At 41.4% G+C, this 21403-nt stretch overlaps 1 pseudogene and 1 further gene, besides 2 other annotated features; one reads left to right on the top strand and one right to left on the bottom strand.

Annotated features, from left to right (window-relative positions):
- Positions 1–21403, bottom strand: part of IGK (immunoglobulin kappa locus) — a 1378008-nt gene that overhangs the window by 1152759 nt on the left and 203846 nt on the right.
- Positions 3826–3874: a sequence feature (IGKV2-14 leader sequence).
- On the top strand, positions 3826–4591 carry IGKV2-14 (immunoglobulin kappa variable 2-14 (pseudogene); annotated as a pseudogene). The gene is given in 2 exon segments: positions 3826–3874; positions 4280–4591. Coding segments are annotated over 2 exon segments (361 nt in total).
- Positions 4280–4290: a sequence feature (IGKV2-14 leader sequence).

Raw genomic sequence — 21403 nt, 5'->3', positions numbered from 1 at the left:
AATAGAGGCTAGAAGGAGTGAAATGTCATATTTAAATGCTGAAAGGAAAAAAAAAGGCAACCAGGAAATCTATATCCATCGAAAATACCCTTCAAATCTAAAGAAAAAGCAAAAAAATTATTTGATAAACAAAATACATTCATTCATAGCAGCTATGTCTCTTACAAGACATTTGAGAGAAAATCCTTCAGAATCACAGGAAATGACATAAGACAGGACCTTGAATCCTCTGAAAGAAATGAAGGCCTCAAAAGTTGTAAGGAGCAATACCAAGTCTAAAAAGATAAAAATACACTTAATGCTATTTATATAAAGTTTAAGACAGGAAAACCTAAATGATTGTATAGATGTCAGAAAGACAGTTAATTTTGCTGGGTGGGAGGGGTGATAACTGACAAAGATTGTCCATGAGGGAAGCACAAGGGAATGTGAAATATTCTATCATTCCATTTGGACAATGAATTACACAAAAACTGTATTCAGTTGAACATTCAAGATTTATGCACTTTACTCTGGCTACTTTATCAGTTGAAATAAAACTAATAAAAACCAAACCTAGACTCTTTCACATTTACCAGTAATCACAGCCAAGAGCCCAGACTAATTTGGATTATTATTATTATTATCACCACTTCAATACCCTTTCTTGACATTTACACTTTTTATCCAGCTACAGTTTCACAGCTCCACCTCCGGCCCATTCTTTTGGAAGACCCCATAGCCATAGGTTAGGTAACACCTATGGAAGACTCATAAATGACATGATTGATGGGTGTTTAGCAGAAAACAAGTAGTATGTATCACAGACTGTCCTATGCAGAGGGTACAATACACGTCAGTGAGAGAGTCCCACTAGCACAGAAAAGAAGTGTGAACTACACCTTCAGAATATGGTCCAGATTTTAGAGTTCATCAGATGAACACAGATCAAGGTGTCCTCTCATCTGGGTATGGGAAAGTGAAATGACTGCAGGTTCTCCCCAGATCAGTGGCCTCTGTCTTTGGAGACGTGTACATGAATCTCACATTTGTTCACATCCACAGTCACTTCCTGGCTTCACCCATAGCAATGATGGTCTGGCTTCGTTATTTAGGAACTCTGCACATAGGCTGTCAGTTACTAAAATGAAAATTAAAAACAGTGACTTTGGTTAAATGTATATCAGTAGGTACATCCTTGAGGGAAAAATGAGCAGAGGTGACATATTTTAATATCAAATAAAAAATCACAATCTTGTGACTCCTTTCTCTTCCCATATAATTCATGATGGTTGTACTGATATTTCAGAGTATCAAATGAGTCTTATATTTTCATCCCTATAGCTTTGTCCTTCTCCAACCTGAGCCCACATTTTGGCCATCCAGTGGCTTCCGAGCACACTTGTGAGATGATCACTGTCCAAACAGGATTGCTGGGATAACTCACAGGCAGCTCCATGCTGAGTCTCCCTTTGAACTCCCAGCATCACTGACCCTGAAGGAGTGTCCTCCTGTCATCCAAAGCACCCAGAGCACAGCCTGCCCTGTGGTGATTTCACTGCCCAACTCAAAACCTCATCACAGATTCCACTGGCTCAGAGACAAAGTCAGGTCCCAGGCAGAGGCTGGTGTGGGGGCCTAAAAAAACCCTCTTTTCATCAATCTTTCTGTTAGAAATTTCCAGGGATTTATAAGCTGAATTTCTATAATAGTTACTATCTTAAAAATAAAAGCTATTTGTAATATGAGAAACATAAAACATGGGAAATAATTAAAACCCACAAGAGCATCATATAGTCAGAGACTCAAAATTCACCTAATCTAATTCGGAGCTCCCTGCCTTATGGTCCATCTCCATGGTGTCTATGTGCTCCACCCTTATCAAATATATGTTCAAAGAATTATTTTAACCTATAATAAAAGACTGAAAAAGGAATTTGTAAAGACAATGATTCAACCAATAGAGGCTCTCAAACAGAGACAAAACTATGAAAACAAGCATACTGGGAAATCTAGAAATGAAAAGTACAACAACTCAATTGAAAAATGTATTAGATAGACTCAATAGCAATTTAAGATGACACAAGAATCAGTGAACTGAAAAACAAGTCAATAGAAATGGTCTCATATAAAGAAGGAAAAAATTATAAAGAAGAATGAATAAAACCTCAGACATTATAGGTCCATGTGTATAATACCAACAAATTTGTATTAGGAATCACAAAGGAGAAGACAGAAAGAGGCTAAAAATGTGTTCCCATCTTTATGCCCATGAATACCCCATGTTTAGCTCCCACTTATAAGTGAGAACATGTGGTTTTTGGTTTTTTGTTTCTGCATCTGTTCACTTAGGAAAATGGCCTCCAGCTGCATCCAAGTTTCTGCAAGGGCAAGATTTTGTTCTTATTTATGGCTGCATAGTATTCCATGGTGCATATATACCACAGTTTCTTTATTGAATCCCTGGTTGATGGGCACAATAGACATTGTGCTAGAAGGAACACAAAGGGAGAAAGGGCAGGGGCTGAAAAACTACCTATGGGTACAATGTTCACTAACTGGTTAATAATTTCTGTCATACCCCAAACCTCAGCATCATGCAAAATAACTTTGTAACATATCTGTACATGTATGGTTTGATTCTAAAATAAAAACTGAAAAAGAAAAAAATGGAGAAATAATGAAAAACATTTTTCACAATGATGAAACACATTAGTCTGTACATGAAAGTAACTCAGTGAAACCCTTCTAGGATAAGCACAATACAGTTCATAACAATACACATTATAGTACCAATGTTGAAAGACAAAGACACAGAGAATTTGGAAGGCATCACTAAAATACTGACTTACTCTATACTAGGAAGCAATAATAAAGGTATTGGCTAAATTTTCATCATTACTAATAGAGGTGGGATGAGAGTGGAATGATATATTTAAATGCTGGGGGAGAAAAGTCAGCCACAAATGCTATATCCAGCAAAACAATCATTTAAACATAAAAGCAAGGTAGAAATGTTCCTTCATACACAAAGACTAATTCATTATAGCATATGTGCCTTGTGGAAAATTCAAGAGAAAATCCTTCAGAATAACAGGGAATGAGAGCAGACAGCAATTCAAATTGATAAGAAGGAATCAAGCCCTCAAAAAATGAAAGAAATAAGAAAGAAGCTACAAAAAATGTTTACCTGATATGAAGATTAAGTACAGGAAAAAAAAACAATTATAATAGATGTCACAGTATCAGTTACATTGATTGTGTTTTGAGCAGCAGTTGCTGACTGGGAAGGTGCATAATGAAAGCAGCAAGAGAATTGGAAACCTTCCATATTTTGATGTGGATCATGACATGAAATGATCTGGATTTTGACATTCATTTGCACCCTTAAGATTTGAACCTTTTGCACTGTGTGTTTTTCCTTAAATAAAATAAAATAAAACAAACCTAGGCTCTTTTAAATAAGCCTGAACCAAGAAATAAGAATCACCAAATATTTATGAAAGCTCAACCTTATTAAAGAGAAGTGTAAAACATGCCTGAGAAAGTCCTAACGAACTAGAAATTGGGTAGAGGAAATAGCAGGAAACATCTAAATATGTCCCTTCTGCCACTCAGGAAACAGATTTTACCTCTCTTGATATCCTTAAAAACATAAAATATATTTATGTCATTTTGCTCACAAGAGAGGTCCCCACCTTCTCCTTGGCTCTTTCCACCCCACTGCACCCACCAGGGGATTTGCATACTGTCCCCTAGGGAAGACCTTCCCTTGTGAGTCTGAGATAAAAGCTCAGCTCTAACCTTGCCTTGACTGATCAGGACTCCTCAGTTCACCTTCCCACAGTGAGGCTCCCTGCTCAGCTCCCAGGGCTGCTAATGCACTGGGTCCCTGCTGAGAGCAGAAGGGAAATGAGGGAGGATGATGGGGTGGGAGGGTGAACTCTGTGGGCCCTGCCACCTCCCATGTGTGTTCTGTCCTCGTGTTAGATGTGTCTTGTCCTCCAGGATGGGGCATGTGATGTCTAGATCTGTGAGAGTGAGGAAGATTCCAGAAGGAGCAAGGACATGTACTTTAGTGAAAGCTGTGACACAGAAAGAGGGGGATGGGATAGGTGACTTCTAGAGGCTTATTTGTGCTTTGCAAATCTTGGTTCTTTTTAAACCTGTATGTTTTGGGAGTATTAACCAAAATCATACACAAAAAATAATTGAGCAAAACATAAATAACAGACAGAAAATTATTAAAATGGCTCACAATGTTTGTACATAACCTTGCACTTCTCTCTTATTATTTCAGGATCCAATGGAGATGCTGTGTGACCCAGCCTCTACTCTCCCTGCCCGTCACCCCTGGAAAGCCAGCCTCTATCTCCTGTAGATCCAGTCATAGCCCCTTTCACAGTAATGGATACACCTATTTGAATTGGGACCTACAGAAGCCAGGCCAGCCTCCACGGCTCCTGATTGATTTGGTTTCCAACAGGGACCCTGGAGTCCCAGACAGGTTCAGTGGCAGTGGGTCGGGGACAGATTTCATGTTTAAAATAAGGAGGATGGATGCTGAGGATGTTGGGGTTTATTGCTGCCAGCAAAGTACACATTATTCTCCCACAATGGTACAGTCCTGAACACAAACCTCCCTGCTTGCTGTGGCCTAGCTGCCCAGATGTGTTGTTTCTGTGGAGAGCAGGCACTGTGGATTCTCTTAGATGCCTAAAGACCAAGATGTTGGAGAACTCAGAGGACTTGGTACAGCTGAGGGCTCATGACCATAAATTTCTCAGCTACACCTCAGGCACCACATTTTAAGTTCCCATCAGCTGCAGCGGCCTTTGCATGACAGAGTCTGCAAAAAGGAGGAGGTACACCTCCCCTTTGAGCAATGAGACACGAGAGAAGAGAAAGCTCAATGAAAGCTCATTCTAAGCCTCTCTTCCTTCCCTACATTCATTCATCAAGTAAATTCGTTCTGCGTAACAGGCACCTAATTGAGACTGATTACTGGCAACGCAAAACTAATACATTCTTTTGATTTGGTTTAGCAGTTACTAGAGTATATGTATGTTGATAAGGTTTGGTAATATTAAAACAGTTTCCCTCCCCTCCTCCACCTCCCCCCACCACTTTTCCGAAGGCAGACCCCTGACCAGGACACCAGCAGGCACTGTATTTTTTCCTACTTTTTTCAGGGAGTACCAAAATATAACTCTTCACGGTCTAGATTTTTAAGTTACTAGATATGTTGCTGCAAATGTATGCAAAAATAAAGACCTAGTGCCAAAAGTCTTTCCACAGTCTCAACCACAGCATGTTGAAGTAAAAAGTAGTTTTCTGAACTCCAAAGCTGGGTTTCAACAATAAGGACCAAGTTTGAAAGAATAAAGGAACATAAGTATGCCATCTTAAACAGAATTACAAGATAATATGTAAGCCATATTTTTACCCCATGAAAAATAACCATCTGAAGACTTGGAGCAGAGGTCAGTACGTGAGAGACTGGTGGGTTGCGTTTGAGATATGAACCCAGATGCAAGTTCTTATGTATTTCCTGGGAAGAATCACAGAGTCGAGAGACCCCTGCCTGGCATTCAAGGCTGGGCCCTGATGCCACTGCAAGCTCCTGAGGAAGTGCTGCATCACACAGAGCTCTAGGTCTGTGTGGTGACTCAAAGGTTACCTTAGGTCATATCACACATTCCAGGTCAACCCAGCAGGAAATAGATGATCTTCCGAAGGTTGATTCTGCTTGTGTCACTTACCTAGAAATAATTTGAGAGAGAAATTTTAATACACTATATGTGTATTAGGCATTAATAAGTTGAGGATATCTTCTGTATAATAATCTTGCATATTTAGCAAGTTAATATAAGAAAAAATCTATAATTAAACTAATTCAAATGAAAGCATGAATCAAGAAAATCAGAGGAAACAAGACGGTAGGTTTAACCCTAACTTTACAATAATTGCATCGTAAATAAACAAATTTTTCCAAGTAAATCATAAAATTATCAGACAGGATTAAAATCAAAGATGTATGTTAATCATTAAATACACACTATAGTAAGAATATAGAATGGCTTTGAAAATGAAAGGATGAAAAGTACATATCATGTAAAACTGAGCAACAGAAACTAGGTCATGACTTTAACGCAAGAGATAAAATGGACATTTTATAATTATAAATTGGTAAATCCATCAAGAAGCCATTAAAATTCTAAATCTGTCTGAATCCTGTATTAGTCTGTTTTCACCCTGCTGAAACAGACATACCTGAGACTGGGAAATTTACAAAAAAAGAGGTTTAATGGACTTACGATTCCATAAGCTGGGGGGGCCTCTCAACCATGGCAGAAGGAGGAGCAAGTCACATCTTAACGTGGATGGTGGCAGGCAAAGAGAGAGAGCTTGTGCAGGGGAACTCCTCTTTATAAAACCATCAGATCTCATGAGACTTACTCACTATCATAAGAACAGCATAGAGAAGACCTGCCCTCCTGATTCAATTACCAACCACCGGGTACCTCCCACAACCTGTGAGAATTCAAGATGGGATTTGGTTGGGGACACAGCCAAACCATATCACTCTGCCCCTGGCCCCTCACAAATATCATGTCCTCACATTTCAAAACCAATCATGCCTTTCCAGCAGTCCCCCATAGTCTCAACTCATCTCAACATTAACTCAAAAGTTCACAGTCCAAAGTCTTATCTGAGACAAGGTAAGACCCTTCAACCTATGAGCCTGTAAGACCAAAAGAATGATAGTTACTTCCTAGGCCCAATTGTGGGTACAGGCATTGGGTTAATACAGCTGTTCCAAATGGGAGAAATTGGCCAAAACAAAGGGACTACAGACCCCAGACAAGTCTGAAATCCAGGAGGGCAGTTAAACCTAAAGTTCCAAAATGGTCTCCTTTGACTCCATGTCTCATATCCAGGTCGCACTGATTCAAGAAGTGAGTTTCTGTGGACTTGACTAACTCTGTCCCTGTAGGTTTGCAGAGTACAGCCTCCCTCCTGGCTGCTTGCAAGGGCTGGCGTTGAGCATCTGTGGCTTTTCCAGGTGAACGGTGTAAGTTGTCAGTGGATCTACCATTCTGGGATCTGGAGGACAGTGCCCCTCTTCTCACAGCTCCACTAAGCAGTGCCCCAGTAGGGGCTCAGTGTGGTGGCTCCAACCCCACATTTCCCTTCGGCACTGCCCTAGCAGTGCTCCATGGCACCCCACCCCTGCAGCAAACTTCTTGCCTGGGCATCCAGGTGTTTCCATACATCCTCTGAAATCTAGGCGAAGGTTTCCCAACCCCAATTCTTGACTTCTGTGCACCTGCAGGCTCAATACCACGTGGAAGCTGCCAAGGCTTGGGGCCTCTGAAGCCACAGCCTGAGCTCTACATTGGCCCCTTTTGGCCATGGCTGGAAGAGCTGGGACACAGGCCAACAAGTCCTTAGTCTGCACACAGCATGAAGGCCCTGGGCCTGGATCACAAAACCACTTTTTCCTCCCAGGCCTCTGGGCCTGTGATGGGAGGGGCAGCCATGAAGACCTCTGACATGCCCTGGAGACATTTTCCCCATTGTCTTGAGGATTAACAACATTGGGCTCCTCATTACTTTTTTAAATTTCTGCTGCTGGCCTGAATTTCTCCTCAGAAATGGGATTTCCTTTTCTATCACATTGGCAGGCTGCAAATTGTCTGGACATTTATGCTCTGCTTATCTTATGTAACTGAATGCCTTTAAAAGCACCTGAGTCATTTCTTGAATGCTTTGCTGCTTAGAACTTTCTCCCACCAGATACCCTAAATCATCTCTCTCAAATTCAAAGTTCCACCAATCTGTAGGGCAGGAGCAAAATGTCACCAATCTCTTTGCTAAAACATAACAAGAATAACCTTTGCTCCAGCTCCCAACAAGTTCCTCATCTTCATCTGAGACCACCTCAGCCTGGATTTCATTGTCCATATCATTATCAGCATTTTGGTCAAAGCCATTTAACAACTCTTTAGGGAGTTTCAAACTTTCCCACATTTTCCTGTCTTCTTCTGAGCCCTCCAAACTGTTCCAACCTCTGCCTGTTACCCAGCTCCAAAGTCATTTCCACATTTTTGGGTATCTTTTCAATAGCGGCCCACTCTCCTGGTGCCAATTGACTGTATTTGCCCATTTTCATGCTTCTAATAAAGACATATCCGAGACTGGGCAATTTACCAAAAAAAAGAGGTTTAATTAAGTTACACTTCCATATGGCTGGGGAGGCCTCACGGCCATGGCAGAAGGCAAAAAGTAGCAAGACACAACTTACGTGGATGGCAAAAGGCAAAGAGAGAGAGCTTGTGCAGAACTCCTCTTCATAAAACCATCAGATCTCAAGAGACTTATTCCCTATCATGGGACAAACACAGGAAAGACTTGCCCTGAGTATTATGAACAATGTCACATCGGTGGTGATATTGGGAGCAATTTCATCCTCTCCACCACAGGGTACTAGGAACAATATCACAAAAGAGGAGTAAATCACCCCTGATATGGAGAATAATATTATCTTCTCCACCACAGGGTATTACAAACAATATTACAGAGGGGGTACACTGCATGTGATATTAGGAGTTATATCATCCTCTCCCTGCCTGGGTATTACGAACAACAACATCATGCTGGGCCAGGGTACAATGCCAAGATATTGGGAGTAATATCATCCTGGCAGCCCTGTGTATTACAAACAATATCATGGCAGGGAGTACGCCACCTGCAATACTAGGAGTAAGATCATCCTCTCCCTCCCAGATATTACAAAAAATGTCACAAGAGGGTGTACACCCCCCACAATATTGGGAGTAATATCATACTCTCCCCTCCTGGATATTACAAACAATAGGACAGGGGCGTGTATACACAAAAAGTTTATGATATTGAAAGTAATATCATCTCCAATCACCCCTGGATATTATGAACAATATCACAGGGAGGTGTACACTCCCTGAGATATTGGGAATAATATCAACCCCTCCTCCCCTGGATATTAGGAACAATGTCACAGGGGTATGTACAACCCCGTGGTATTGGGCGTAATATCATCCTCTCCCCACCTGGATATTATGAACGATATTACAGGGGGGTGTACACAAAAGGTGTTTACGATGTTTAAAGTAATATCATCTCAAATCCCCCCGGATATTAAAAACAATATCACAGGGGGATTTTACACCCCCCACTATATTGGGAGTAATATCATCCTCTCCCCTCCAAATGTTACAAACAATATCAAAAGGGGGTGTACATTCCCCACAATATTGGAAGTAATGTCATCTCCCCCCGATTATTACCAAGAATATCACAGGGGGGGCACACCCCCCACGATATTGGGCATAATATCATCCTCTCCCCTCTCTGGATATTATGAACAATATCACATGGTGGTGTACACTCCCCGCAATATTGGGAGTATTATCATCCTCTCCCCCTCTGAATATTACGAACAATATCACAGGCGGGTGTACACACAAGGTGTCAACGATATTGAAACTAACATCACCTCCAATCCCCCCCTGGATATTACAAACAATATCACAGGGGGGTGTACACTCCCGGCGATATTGGGAGTAACATCATCCTCTCTCCCACTTCATATTACGACAATATCACAGTGGGTTGTACACCCCCCGCAAAATTGGGAGTAATATCATCCTCTGCCCCCCTGGATATTATGAAAAATATCACAGGGACGTGTACACTTCCCGAGATGTTGGGAGTAATATTATCCTTTCCCCCACTGGATATTAGGAACAATATCACAGGGGGGTGTACACACAAGGTGTTTACGATATTGAAAGTAATATCATCTCCAACCATCCCTGGATACAATGAACAATATCACAGAAGGGTGTACACCCCCCGCAGTGTTATGATTAATATCATCCTTCCCCCCTGAATATTAAGAAAAATATTACAGTGGGGTGAACATCCCCGGCAATATTGGGAGTAATGTCATCCTATTCCCCGCTGGATATTGCGAACAGTATCACAGGGGGCTGTGCATGCCCCGCGATGTTGGGAGTAATTTCCTCCTGTCTCTCCCAAGATGTTATGAACAATATCACAGAGGCGTGCACTCCCCCGCGATACTGGGAGTAATATCATCCTCTTAACTCCTTAACGAACAATATTACAGGGGTGTGTAAAGCCACCGAGATATTGCCAGTAATATCATCCTCTCCCACCCTGGATATTATGGACAATACCAAAGGAGGGTGTACACACAAGTTGCTTACGATATTGAAAGTAATACATCTCCTCTCCCCCACTGGACATTATGAACAATATCACGGGGGGTGTACACCCTCCGTGATACTGGGAGTAATATCATACTCTCCTCTCCCGGATATTACGAACAATATCACAGGGGGGTGTACACACAACGTGTTTACGATATCGAAAGTAATATCATCTCCTCTCTCTCCCTGGATATTATGAACAATATCGTGGGGTGGGGGGGTGTACACACAACGTGTTTACGATATTTAAAGTAACGTCATCCTCTCCCCCCCACCCCGAATATTACGAACAATATCACAGGGGGGTGTACACACAATGTGTTTACGATTTTGGAAGTAATACCATCTTCCCTTCCCCCACGGATATTACGAACAATATCACAAGGGGGCGTGTACAGCCCGGGCGATATTGGGAGTAATATCGTCCTCTCCCCTCCTGGATATTATGAACAATATCACAAGTTGGGGGTGTACACTCCCCACGATATTGGGAGTAATATCTTCCTCTCTCCCTGGATATTACGAACAATATCACAAGGGGGTTGTACACTCCCCGCAATACTGGGGGTAATGGCGTCCTCTCCAACCCTGGATATTACGAACAATATCAAAATAAGGGGTGTACACCCCCCACGATATTGGGAGTAATATTGTCGTCTCCCCCCAGGATATTATGAATAATATCACAAGAGGGGTGTACACCCCCCACGATATTGGGAATAATATAGTCCTATCCACCCCCCTGCCGGATATTATGAAGAATCTCACAAGGGAGGGTGTAAACCCCCCACGATATTGGTAGTAACGTCATCCTGTTTTCCCCCTGGATATTAAGAACAATAACACAAAGAGGGGTGTACACCTCCCGCAATATTGGGAGTACTATTGTCCTCTCCCCGCTCTGGATATTACCAACAATATCACTATCTTGACTAGTGGTTTTGACAGATCATCAGGCCTTAGAAGAAACACATCTGAAGGATTGGACACAAAGTCACTCTGGAGGAGATATGACTGGACCTTCCAAAAAAGGACCAGTAGAAAAAATAAATCCTTTCCAAGTGAATATTTATCTAAAGGCCATTAGAAGCAGGAGCTCAAAATAATTAAAATAATTCAAAACATGGACTTCATCAGTTACCTTTCCCAGCTTTCCCAGGGAATCTCATGAACTGATGTCATGACTATCCATGCATGGGCTTAACAATATGAATTTCAGTTAACTGGGACTCATGGGGATACTGGCACTTCTGAGCATCCACTTTTCCAAGGAGAATAACCCAAGATTGTACCAGACATCAAGGATCAGACTAACAGCTGGTGTCAGGTGTTTTTAGCAGGCCTCATCCAACATGAGAAGAGCAGCAGTTGTTTTCCTGTATATGCATTTGTCTTTCTTTCAGTTATATTTCTGCATGAAATATTATTTGAGGATTTTCCAAGTGCTTTCATCACAGTTAAGAAATTCTTCCATAATATGGCATTGAATCGGGCAAATTATTTACAACAAAAAAGTAAGGCAAAGGGTGCAGTTCATGATCTTATCACCTGCACAGGTGCAGCCGTCTCTATAGAAAGGAGAAAACATATTCTTAGTCAAGCAAAACTGACACACAAACCCTAGGTAATTGAATTGATACCCTATCAGATGTGGTGAAGGTTCTGACACGCTAATCATGTATGATGCTGTAACTTCCATCAAGGAATATATGTATAGTGAAAGTGAGCTGTGTACTCATAGTTAATTATTATGCCAACTGAACAGCTGGAAACATTGGTCGCTGTGGCACCCACTGAATAAAAGGAGACTCAGTGGCAGGTAGGCCCCTTTGCGAATGGGAGACGGCATAAACCTCACCTGGGTGTTCTTTTGGTTCCCTTAGTCAAAATCATGAACAAAGTTGCCAACTTTGAAAAAGGCGTTTTGCAACAGTAGCCTTGGAATCTGTTCAACAAGGCCTGGCCCAGTCACTTCTCTAAGATTTTTACAGCCTGCTAACCAGATGGAAGTCCAGGTATCCACAACCTCTATGCATACTCAGTGGAGCGTATAGCAACAGAAAACTATCAATGAGTGCACCAGCCTCTCAATCTTAGGACACATAAGTTGCCTGAATCAGCCACTGAATGTGTTTATATTGAATGGCAACTCCTTGCTTGCTATTAGGCACTGATGGAGACTGAACATGTTAAGGCTTCAGCACCATGTGTGACTGTGACACTGGTCCCTTAGCTGTCCATTCTCACTTAGATACTTACAAACACCATTAGTAAAACTGAACAATCTGAACAGAGCCATGTTATCAAATGGAAATGGCACATTCTTGATCAGGTTTAGTCAGGACCCCACAGGATCTGTGGCTCCATGAACAAATGGGGAGCTTGCTAGAAGGGACCAAATAACTTGTAGGTGATAATTTGGCTCTTTATTTGCCCATGTGGAGCCCAAGATTCAGAGATTTCCATATGGCAGGAGTCACTGAAGGCTGAGCAAAATGCTAACTGACAGATCCACTAGGTGTGGCCACCATTCAGCCAGTGGATGGCCACTTTTTTAACTGAAACTTAACATGGGCTTTCTACCCAGTGGGCAAAACTACATTCAGTGGTAATGGCCATGCAGGCTGTCCCAACAACGCACCATGCCACATATCCACTAAATCCTCGGCCATTGTCAACAGCCTTGCCATCTGTTCAGGAAAATGGCAACTGAGAGACTGGACTATTAAAGAATCCCCAGTGTGAAGGAAAGGACTATGGCCACAGCTTTCCACCTGCAGGAAAAAGAAATATGATGCTGAATTTGATGCTGGGACTACCTAGGTAACCCTTGAGTGCAATTTATGTCATATTTTTGGATACTCCATGAGACTTCTCACTCACAAAGGAGCATCTTTCACTGCCCAAGCAACGTGACAATAGGCACACTCTCATGGAACACGATGAACTTTCCATGCACCCTGCATCCACAGGCCAATGATCCTAGTGAATGCTAGATCAGTGGAATCACACAGCAATATGCAGAAAGGACATCTACAAAGTCTGTTAATGGGGTGGTATCCCATCTGACTAGAGAAATATGTACATTAAAGATCCTGGGCCACAAAAAGGGAAATAGTGCATGTTGAGAAACACAGAGCTGGGTGGAAGTAAAGGTAGGCCAGGCAGACACTTATATTAGTCTGGACCTGTGAAAGCTATTTCAGTGTTCCTAACCATTCCTTTTCTTTTTTTCCTTTAGAATACATGCTCTGGGGTGGTTTGCAATCTAGGCCATTACAATGCCCCAGACAGGCCCCCTAACTCTAATAGGAGGATTATGTTTCCTCTGGGTGCTTCCTTTCTACAAGATCCCACAGTGATGGATAACAAGACTAAGAAATATCACGGAGCTAGGGGCCCTCTTCTGGTGCCAGGGACATCTTATCCTCCCTTTAGTGTTGGTGATATTATGAAATATGTCCAGTTTTTACAGGGCAGAATCTCCCTTCCTGGAGTGGACAATCAGGACTGAAATATCTGGATCAAGTGACAAAGGCAATGGATTGTTCACAGAGCAAGGACAGCCAGACCGCATTCCTACACCAACACGGCCCAACCCTTGTAGATGGGTAGGGGACACCTGAGACCCTGGGATGGGTGAGAGACGATGCATTAACCTGTGAGGCTGCATTTTGACAAGAATGAGGCAGCAAAGGCCTAGAAGCACAATGTCTTTGTTAGCTTCTTTTAGGTCACCAGGGTGATCTTTCAAAATAGTGAATCTCCCATTCTTGACCTCATTCTGTCATTAACTAGAGGTTCCCTTTCATTCTACCAAGGGTAAATTACACCAACATTCCTAATACTAAGGTGTACATCAAAAGGACCCAAGCACTGGCCCACAAAGTGAGAATCTGACACCTGCCACATGGGAGGAAACTGGAGGACCCCTGTTTAACTTAATTGCCTCTGGCGAATGTCATGACCACAATTAAAAAAAACATTGGTGGACTAATATTTTGATGCACCATACTTTTTTGATTGCATAGATGAGAAACATCCCAATGGCAATGATAAAAACAAGGACTGGACTAATGCTAGCCCTCTGTCTACAGACAATATTGTATGAGCAAAACTTTGCTCATGCAACTCTACTATCAGTGAGACTTGGCTAATGAACGCACCAATACCAGCATAACCATGACAGAGTGATTGAAGAAAAATGGGAAAAGGGGGGCTGTATGCACCCAAGGGCTACATCTTTCTCTGTAAGCGGTTTGGGAGTGACCAAAATGCAGGATATGTGATGCCATCTCTGGATATCTGTGGAATAGTGAGATCCTGCATGTTGGGCATGCTGGGGTTGTCTCTGGATATTGCTCCTTGGAATTAGGTAAATCATAGAGCCTGAAGCCCAAAGCTGTACCTCAGACTTACTAGGGACCTACCAGAAGGTACAACAGATGATAGGTTTATGTCTTTTATGATATTTTTGGTACTATGTATAGGAGTCAGTGCTCATGAAAAAAAGTGAAATGATAAGGAACTTGTCCCTGACCATGGCAGATATTGCTCCTCCTCCATAGCCACTGCCTTGGTAACCCAGCAGACATCCCTTAACTCCATCGGGATGGATGTTTAAGATAACAGTGTTGCTCTAGACCTTTAAAAAATCCCAACTGGGAGGAATGTATACAATTTCCAATACCCCCTGCTATACCTGGATAAACACCTCAGGTATCCTAGAAATTCAAGTAGAGGAGATCTGGAAACAAGCTCATAATTGCAGAAAATGGATTCTGCAGATTCAGAAAATCCCACCTGAAGGATTCTTCTTTCACCCCTTTAGCAACTTCTTCTGTGGATCATGGGATCCTGGGCTACATAACTGCTTCAGGTGGGCCTGATCATTCTGCCTCTGGTAGTAGTTTTCATTGGCCCAGTGAAATCTTTTCTGGCTCTGTCTCAATGATGTTGCTTTGAGATTGTGTCAGTCAAGGTGCTTCATCCGTCTGACAAGACACACCTGTGCCTCCAGTTCACGGTGGTTGGTAGGCGTATAAAATGGAATAGCTTTCTACGGAGGATGTCTGTGTTGGGGGACGACTTCACTCCAGTCCTCTGATGGTCCTGGACTCACTTGATTTTCCCCACTCTCTTTCTTACACTTCTCAATAATAATTGTAGAATGTGCTGGAAATGTAACATTCTGAAATAGCGAGGGACAGGTCAGAACAGACTGGCTTCTGATCCAGCTCCCTCTAGTACTGTCCTCCTGTACTTAAGTCCTCCAGTACTTTAGCTCCATGTGTCCTGTGACACCAGGGTTTAAAACCCAGAGCATCTTCTTTCTGGGGTTCCTTAGCTCTGGTCCAAGAGGGGTACACACAGTCAAGATTCCATCAGCCCCACTTACCTGTGCCTCAGGGTAAAGACCCACAATAAATCCTCAGCTTCTGCCGTGCCTTGCTGGTCACCTGTAAATACTAAACTAGATTCTTGTAACTTGTTGTGTATGATTGTTCTGTCTCCCTGGACTCTGACAGGTTGGTAACCAGGGCACAGCAAACCTGCTTCACAGCAGTCACTGTCATAGAGACAGAACTTGATTACAGGTTGCCAGGGACTGGGAGCAGGGGAAACGGGGAGGGGGTTGTCATTTAATGGCTATGGAGTTTCAGTTCTAGAAGATGGAAAGAGTTCTGGAGATGGATATTATTGATGCTAGCCCAACAATGTGACTATACTTAATGCCATTGTCCTGTACACTTGAAAATGGCTAAGATGGGCAATTTTATGTTCTCTATACTTACCATAGTTTAAAAACTTCACATCTTTATTATGATATTATTGGATCAGAAGGCATCGTTCTATTTTCTAATTTTCTCAGCAAATGTTAATAAATAATCACTTAGAGATGCCATTGTTCACACCACATCTTAACAAACAGTGTTTTTTTTCTAGAGATGAGGGAGTCTCCCTGTGTTTTCCAAGCTGGTCTTGAACTCCTAGATTTCTGCTACCCTCCCTACTTGATCTTGCAAACATCTAGGATAACGGGGATAAGTCCCCGCACCTGGTCTTAACTATCAGTTTACCAGGAGGTTTAACAGGGAACTTCCTTGAAAATGTGTATTCCATTGCAGCCACCTCTAAGGCCAGACAATCTACTAAGCTATATTTCTGCACCCAAGTGCACTGCTCCCTCTGTGATGCCACATGCCCTCAGCATGAAGTCCCATAAGGAGAACAAGGCAAGGAGGCAACCAAATGTTCTGAGTGGAAATTATTGTGAAGGGCTGGCATTAGAAGAGCATCAGTATTGCAGTGCTACTTGACTAGCAAAACACTCTCTGGCTTATGTTGCTGGATATTTTTTTTCCTCAAACTTTTGCTAATACTGAATACTAGGGTTGAGATGAGAACCTTACTATGCTAAGTCTAGTTAAATGCCATTTCATTGAAGATATATTGCTTTATGGAATATAATAAGTATTGAAAATACTTATTACTACTCCAACACTCCCTTTATATATCATGTTACCATCCTAAATATTATGGCTTGATAAAAGTGTTTGATAGGGAACTAGGACAGTATTGATTCTGTTCTCAATGTCCTGTAACACATCAATTCCCCAAATTGACAAGAAAATGGGAAGAAAAACATAGCTTAATAATCACTAGCTATTCTGGTTACTGTTGAGTGACAATTAGGTGAAATCTTAAAAAAAAAATTGAAATATTTTGGAGGGTGTGGAGCTATAATAAGTTATTGGTGGACATATAAAATATTATAGCCACTTTCGGTAAAGTCGGACAGAGTATTAAACACTTACTGATAAACACAGCAACTACACGCCTTGGTATTAGCCCAAAAGAAATGAAGACATATGTTCATGCAAAGTCTTGTTCAAGAACATTCACAGCAACTTTATCCATAATAGCCCAAAATGGAAACAACCCACACGGCAATCAATAGATGAAGGGATCCATCATAAAATTACTGAACAGTTAAATAATACTCAAAAATAAAGAGGAGCACATAATTAGAACACAGGACATCTGAATGAATCTGAGAAAGAGTCATGCTGCACAAAAGTCACCAGACACAAAAGAGCGCATCCTATGTTTCATTTATGTGAAACTCTTACAAGGAAAATGAAATCTGTACTGACAGGAAGCAGATCAAAATTCCCTGATCTGTGAGGCAGAAAGCAAGTTGATTCCAAAAGAGTGGGTCAAAATGTTTTGGAGCTATAGAAATGTTCTATGTCTGGATTTTGGATGTGGTTCTAAAGATGTATTTATTTGTGACAGTTCATTGACAATGTGTTTTATTGTAATCTTTTTTTTTTTTTTTACAGTGAACTTAGTTAACAGTGAGCAAAGCAAGTGTAAGGCCAATTGGGTAGTGTTGTCTTCACATCTTCTGTCTTGCAGTGTACTGAAAATTGTATGAGCCAGAATATCTGAGAGATAATCTCTGCTTTGAAACTGAAGAACTGTGTATCTCATGGCAAGATTTCTCTTTTCCAAGTACTTTGGATTTTTCTTCTCTAGAATGAGAATTTAAATACACTTCACAGATTAAGTCAAAGTGAATAAAATACCTAGGAATCCAACTTACAAGGGAGGTGAAGGACCTCTTCAAGGAGAACTACAAGCCACTGCTCAACGAAGTAAAAGAGGACACAAAACACATAGAAGAACATTCCGTGCTCATGGATAGGAAGAATCAATATAGTGAAAATGGCCATACTGCCCAAGGTAATTTATAGATTCAATGCCATCCCCATCAAGCTACCAATAACTTTCTTCACAGAATTGGAAAAAACTACTTTAAAGTTCATATGGAATCAAAAAAGAGCCCGCATTGCCAAGACAATCCTAAGCAAAAAAAAACAAAGCTGGAGGTATCACACTACCTGACTTCAAACTATACTACAAGGCTACAGTAACCAAAACAGCATGGTACTGGTACCAAAACAGAGATTCAAACCAGTGGAACAGAACAGAGGCCTCAGAATTAACACCACACATCTACAGCCATCTGATCTTTGACAAACCTGACAAAAACAAGAAATGGGGAAGTATTCCCTATTTAATAAATCGTGCTGGAAAAACTGGCTAGCCATATGTAGAAAGCTGAAACTGGATCCCTTACTTACACCTTATACAAAATTTAATTCAAAATGGATTAAAGACTTAAATGTTAGATCTAAAACCATAAAAACCCTAGAAGAACACCTAGGCAATACCATTCAGGACGTAGGCATGGGCAAGGACTTCATGACTAAAACACCAAAGCAATGGCAACAAAAGCCAACATAGACAAATGGGATCTAATTAAACTAAAGAGCTTCTGCATGACAAAAGAAACTACCATCAGAGTGAACAGGTAATCTACAGAATAGGAGAAAATTTTTCCAATCTACCTATCTGACAAAGGGCTAATATCCAGAATCTACAAAGAACTCAAACAAATTTACAAGAAAAAAACCAAACAACCCCCTCAAAAATTGGGCAAAGGATGTGAACAGACACGTCTCAAAAGAAGACATTTATGCAGCCAACAGACACATGAAAAATGCTCATCATCACTGGTCATAAGAGAAATGCAAATCAAAACCACAGTGAGATATCATCTCACGTCAGTTAGAATAGCAATCATTAAGAAGTCAGGAAACAATAGATGCTGGCGAGGATGTGGAAAAATAGGAAAGCTTTTACACTGGTGGTGGGAGTGTAAATTAGTTCAACCATTGTGGAAGACAGTGTGGCAATTCCTTAAGGATCAAGAACTGGAAATACCACTTGACCCAGCAATCCCATTACTGGGTACCTACCCAAAGAATTATAAATCATGGTACTATGCACACATATGTTTATCATGCCACTATTCACAATAGCAAGACTTGGAACCAACCCAAATGTCCATCAATGATATAATGGATTAAGAAAATGTGGCACATATACACCAAGGAATACTATGCAGCCATAAAAAGGATGATTTCATGTCCTTTGCAGGGACATGGATAAAGCTGGAAACCATCATTCTCAGTAACCTATCACAAGGAAAAGAAACCAAACACCTCATGTTCTCACTCATAGGTGGGAATTGAACAACGAGAACATTTGGACACAGGGTGAGGAACATCACACACTGGGGCCTGTCATGGGGTCGGGGGCAGTGGGAGGGATAGCATTAGGAGAAATACCTAATGTAAATGATGAGTTGATGGGTGCAGCAAACCAACATGGCACATATATCCCTATGTATCAAGCCTGCACGTTGTGCACTTGTACCCTAGAACTTAAAGTATAATAAAAAAATATATATTTTGAGACTCATAGCAATTGCCCTTGTTCTGCAAACATTTCTAGAGGTAGCAGGCCAGTGGTGCTCACAGAAGTGTCTAGCATGCAGTATCTGTTCTATTGTTCATGAAAATTGTCTCACATAGTCTAGCAGTGGGCAGCAGCAATTGGGTGTTGACATCATTTCCCTGAGTCTTGTTTAATAGACTCCTTAATAAATCATTTTCCTACTATTAAATATAAATTTTGCGGATATTTAGAGATAATTGGCTTATGATAATTGCAATTAAGGAACCTTGAGGACATGTTAGAAATCACAAAGATTAGGATATTTTGCAAATGTTATGCTTCCAATAGCTAGGTTACCCTAAAACCTCTCTTACAAAGTATGCTTCCCAAGATGTTCCCAGGGGTCACAGGACTAGTCAATGCCAGTAAGTACAGGACAGATTTCACACTCAGTACAAGTACCTGATATTTGAGGAAACTAAAGATGCCAGAACACCCTAGCAGAACCCTCTCCCCAGTGAATCACACAATTGTATAATCTACCTCCACAGAGAGCAAGCGGAACCTAGACTTGCTTCTAATCCATATGATATGTCATAGGTTATGAGATGTCTTTCCAATGATTGTATTCTATAAGCCTCTGTCATAGCAGACTGGAAAGAGACACTCTCTGAAACCTTCTGCTGACCATGAACAAGCAACCAGCCATGTGGGCATTGCCTGTGTGAGCATCACATGGCAGGGAATTGTCCACAGCCTCTTGGACCTAAGAGCAGCCTTGAGCCAAGAGCCAGTTAGAAATTGAAGCCCTGAGTCATAGAAATGCTAAGGAATGAGCTCTGCAACTACCTGAAAGAGCTCTAAAGTATCTATGTTCTCAGGGGACTCACAGGTGAGAATGAAGCCCAATCTACACTGTGGCACAGTCTTGTGAAATCCAATGGCCAGGACCCGACAAAGCCATGTGCCAACTGCTGACTCAGAAATTGAGAGATGATAAATGGGTGTAGTCTTAAGCTGATAAATTTGTGGTAATTTGTTACATGGCCATAACAAACTTAGCACACATTTTAAGAACAAATAGTAGACCGAAGAGCAGCCATGCCACTGACATTGACTGTAGATGGGCACAGGCTTATTCTCATTGTGACCTTAGGGTTTCCAAGCACTGTGAGAGAGAGGAAAGCTTCGATGTGCAAGCCCTTTCCAAGACTCCACTTGTGTCACATCTGCTATTATCCTATTGGCCTGAGCAAGACACATGGGCAACACCTGCATCCATTTAGAATGAGGCCAACCAAAGGATGAGTACAGGGAAGGGATTTATTGTGGCTAATTGTGCAAGTAGTTTATCCATAAATTTTTTATCATTATTTGCTGAGAAATACCCTGACAAAAAGAAACCTCTTTAAAAGGCTTAAAGGTTTTAGGTTGTAGGTTCATTCATTGTAGCGTTCTGCTTTATATCCAAGTATAAATAATTGAGAACTCCTTCAAATTGTTATTTCCATGATGGTTTATTTTCCCCATACCTTTACAGGTAATTTTGGTCCTGCAATGTGCTAGCCAAGTTTAATGTGCAGAGCTGACCATTTGCACAATGTGACTGACACGCCACTGCACCTTGAATGTGGACCTTGACTTGTGGTGATCTATGAGAATCTGCTTCTCAAAAGAATGTATTTGTCACCCCTTTGATCTTTATCCTGTCTGAATACACACACTTCTCTATTGTTCCATGGCTACTCTGTATGTTGTCTCTATTAACTCACTCTTGCCATAAGTGACTAAGAGCACCTAACACAGAAATAATAAATACAACCAGTTCTGAAAATTAA

Source organism: Homo sapiens, chromosome 2 (assembly GCF_000001405.40).
Source record: "Homo sapiens chromosome 2, GRCh38.p14 Primary Assembly".
Classification (NCBI taxonomy): domain Eukaryota; kingdom Metazoa; phylum Chordata; class Mammalia; order Primates; family Hominidae; genus Homo; species Homo sapiens.
The sequence above is the reverse complement of the archived record's forward strand: the minus strand, read 5'-3'. Positions and strand labels throughout refer to the sequence as shown.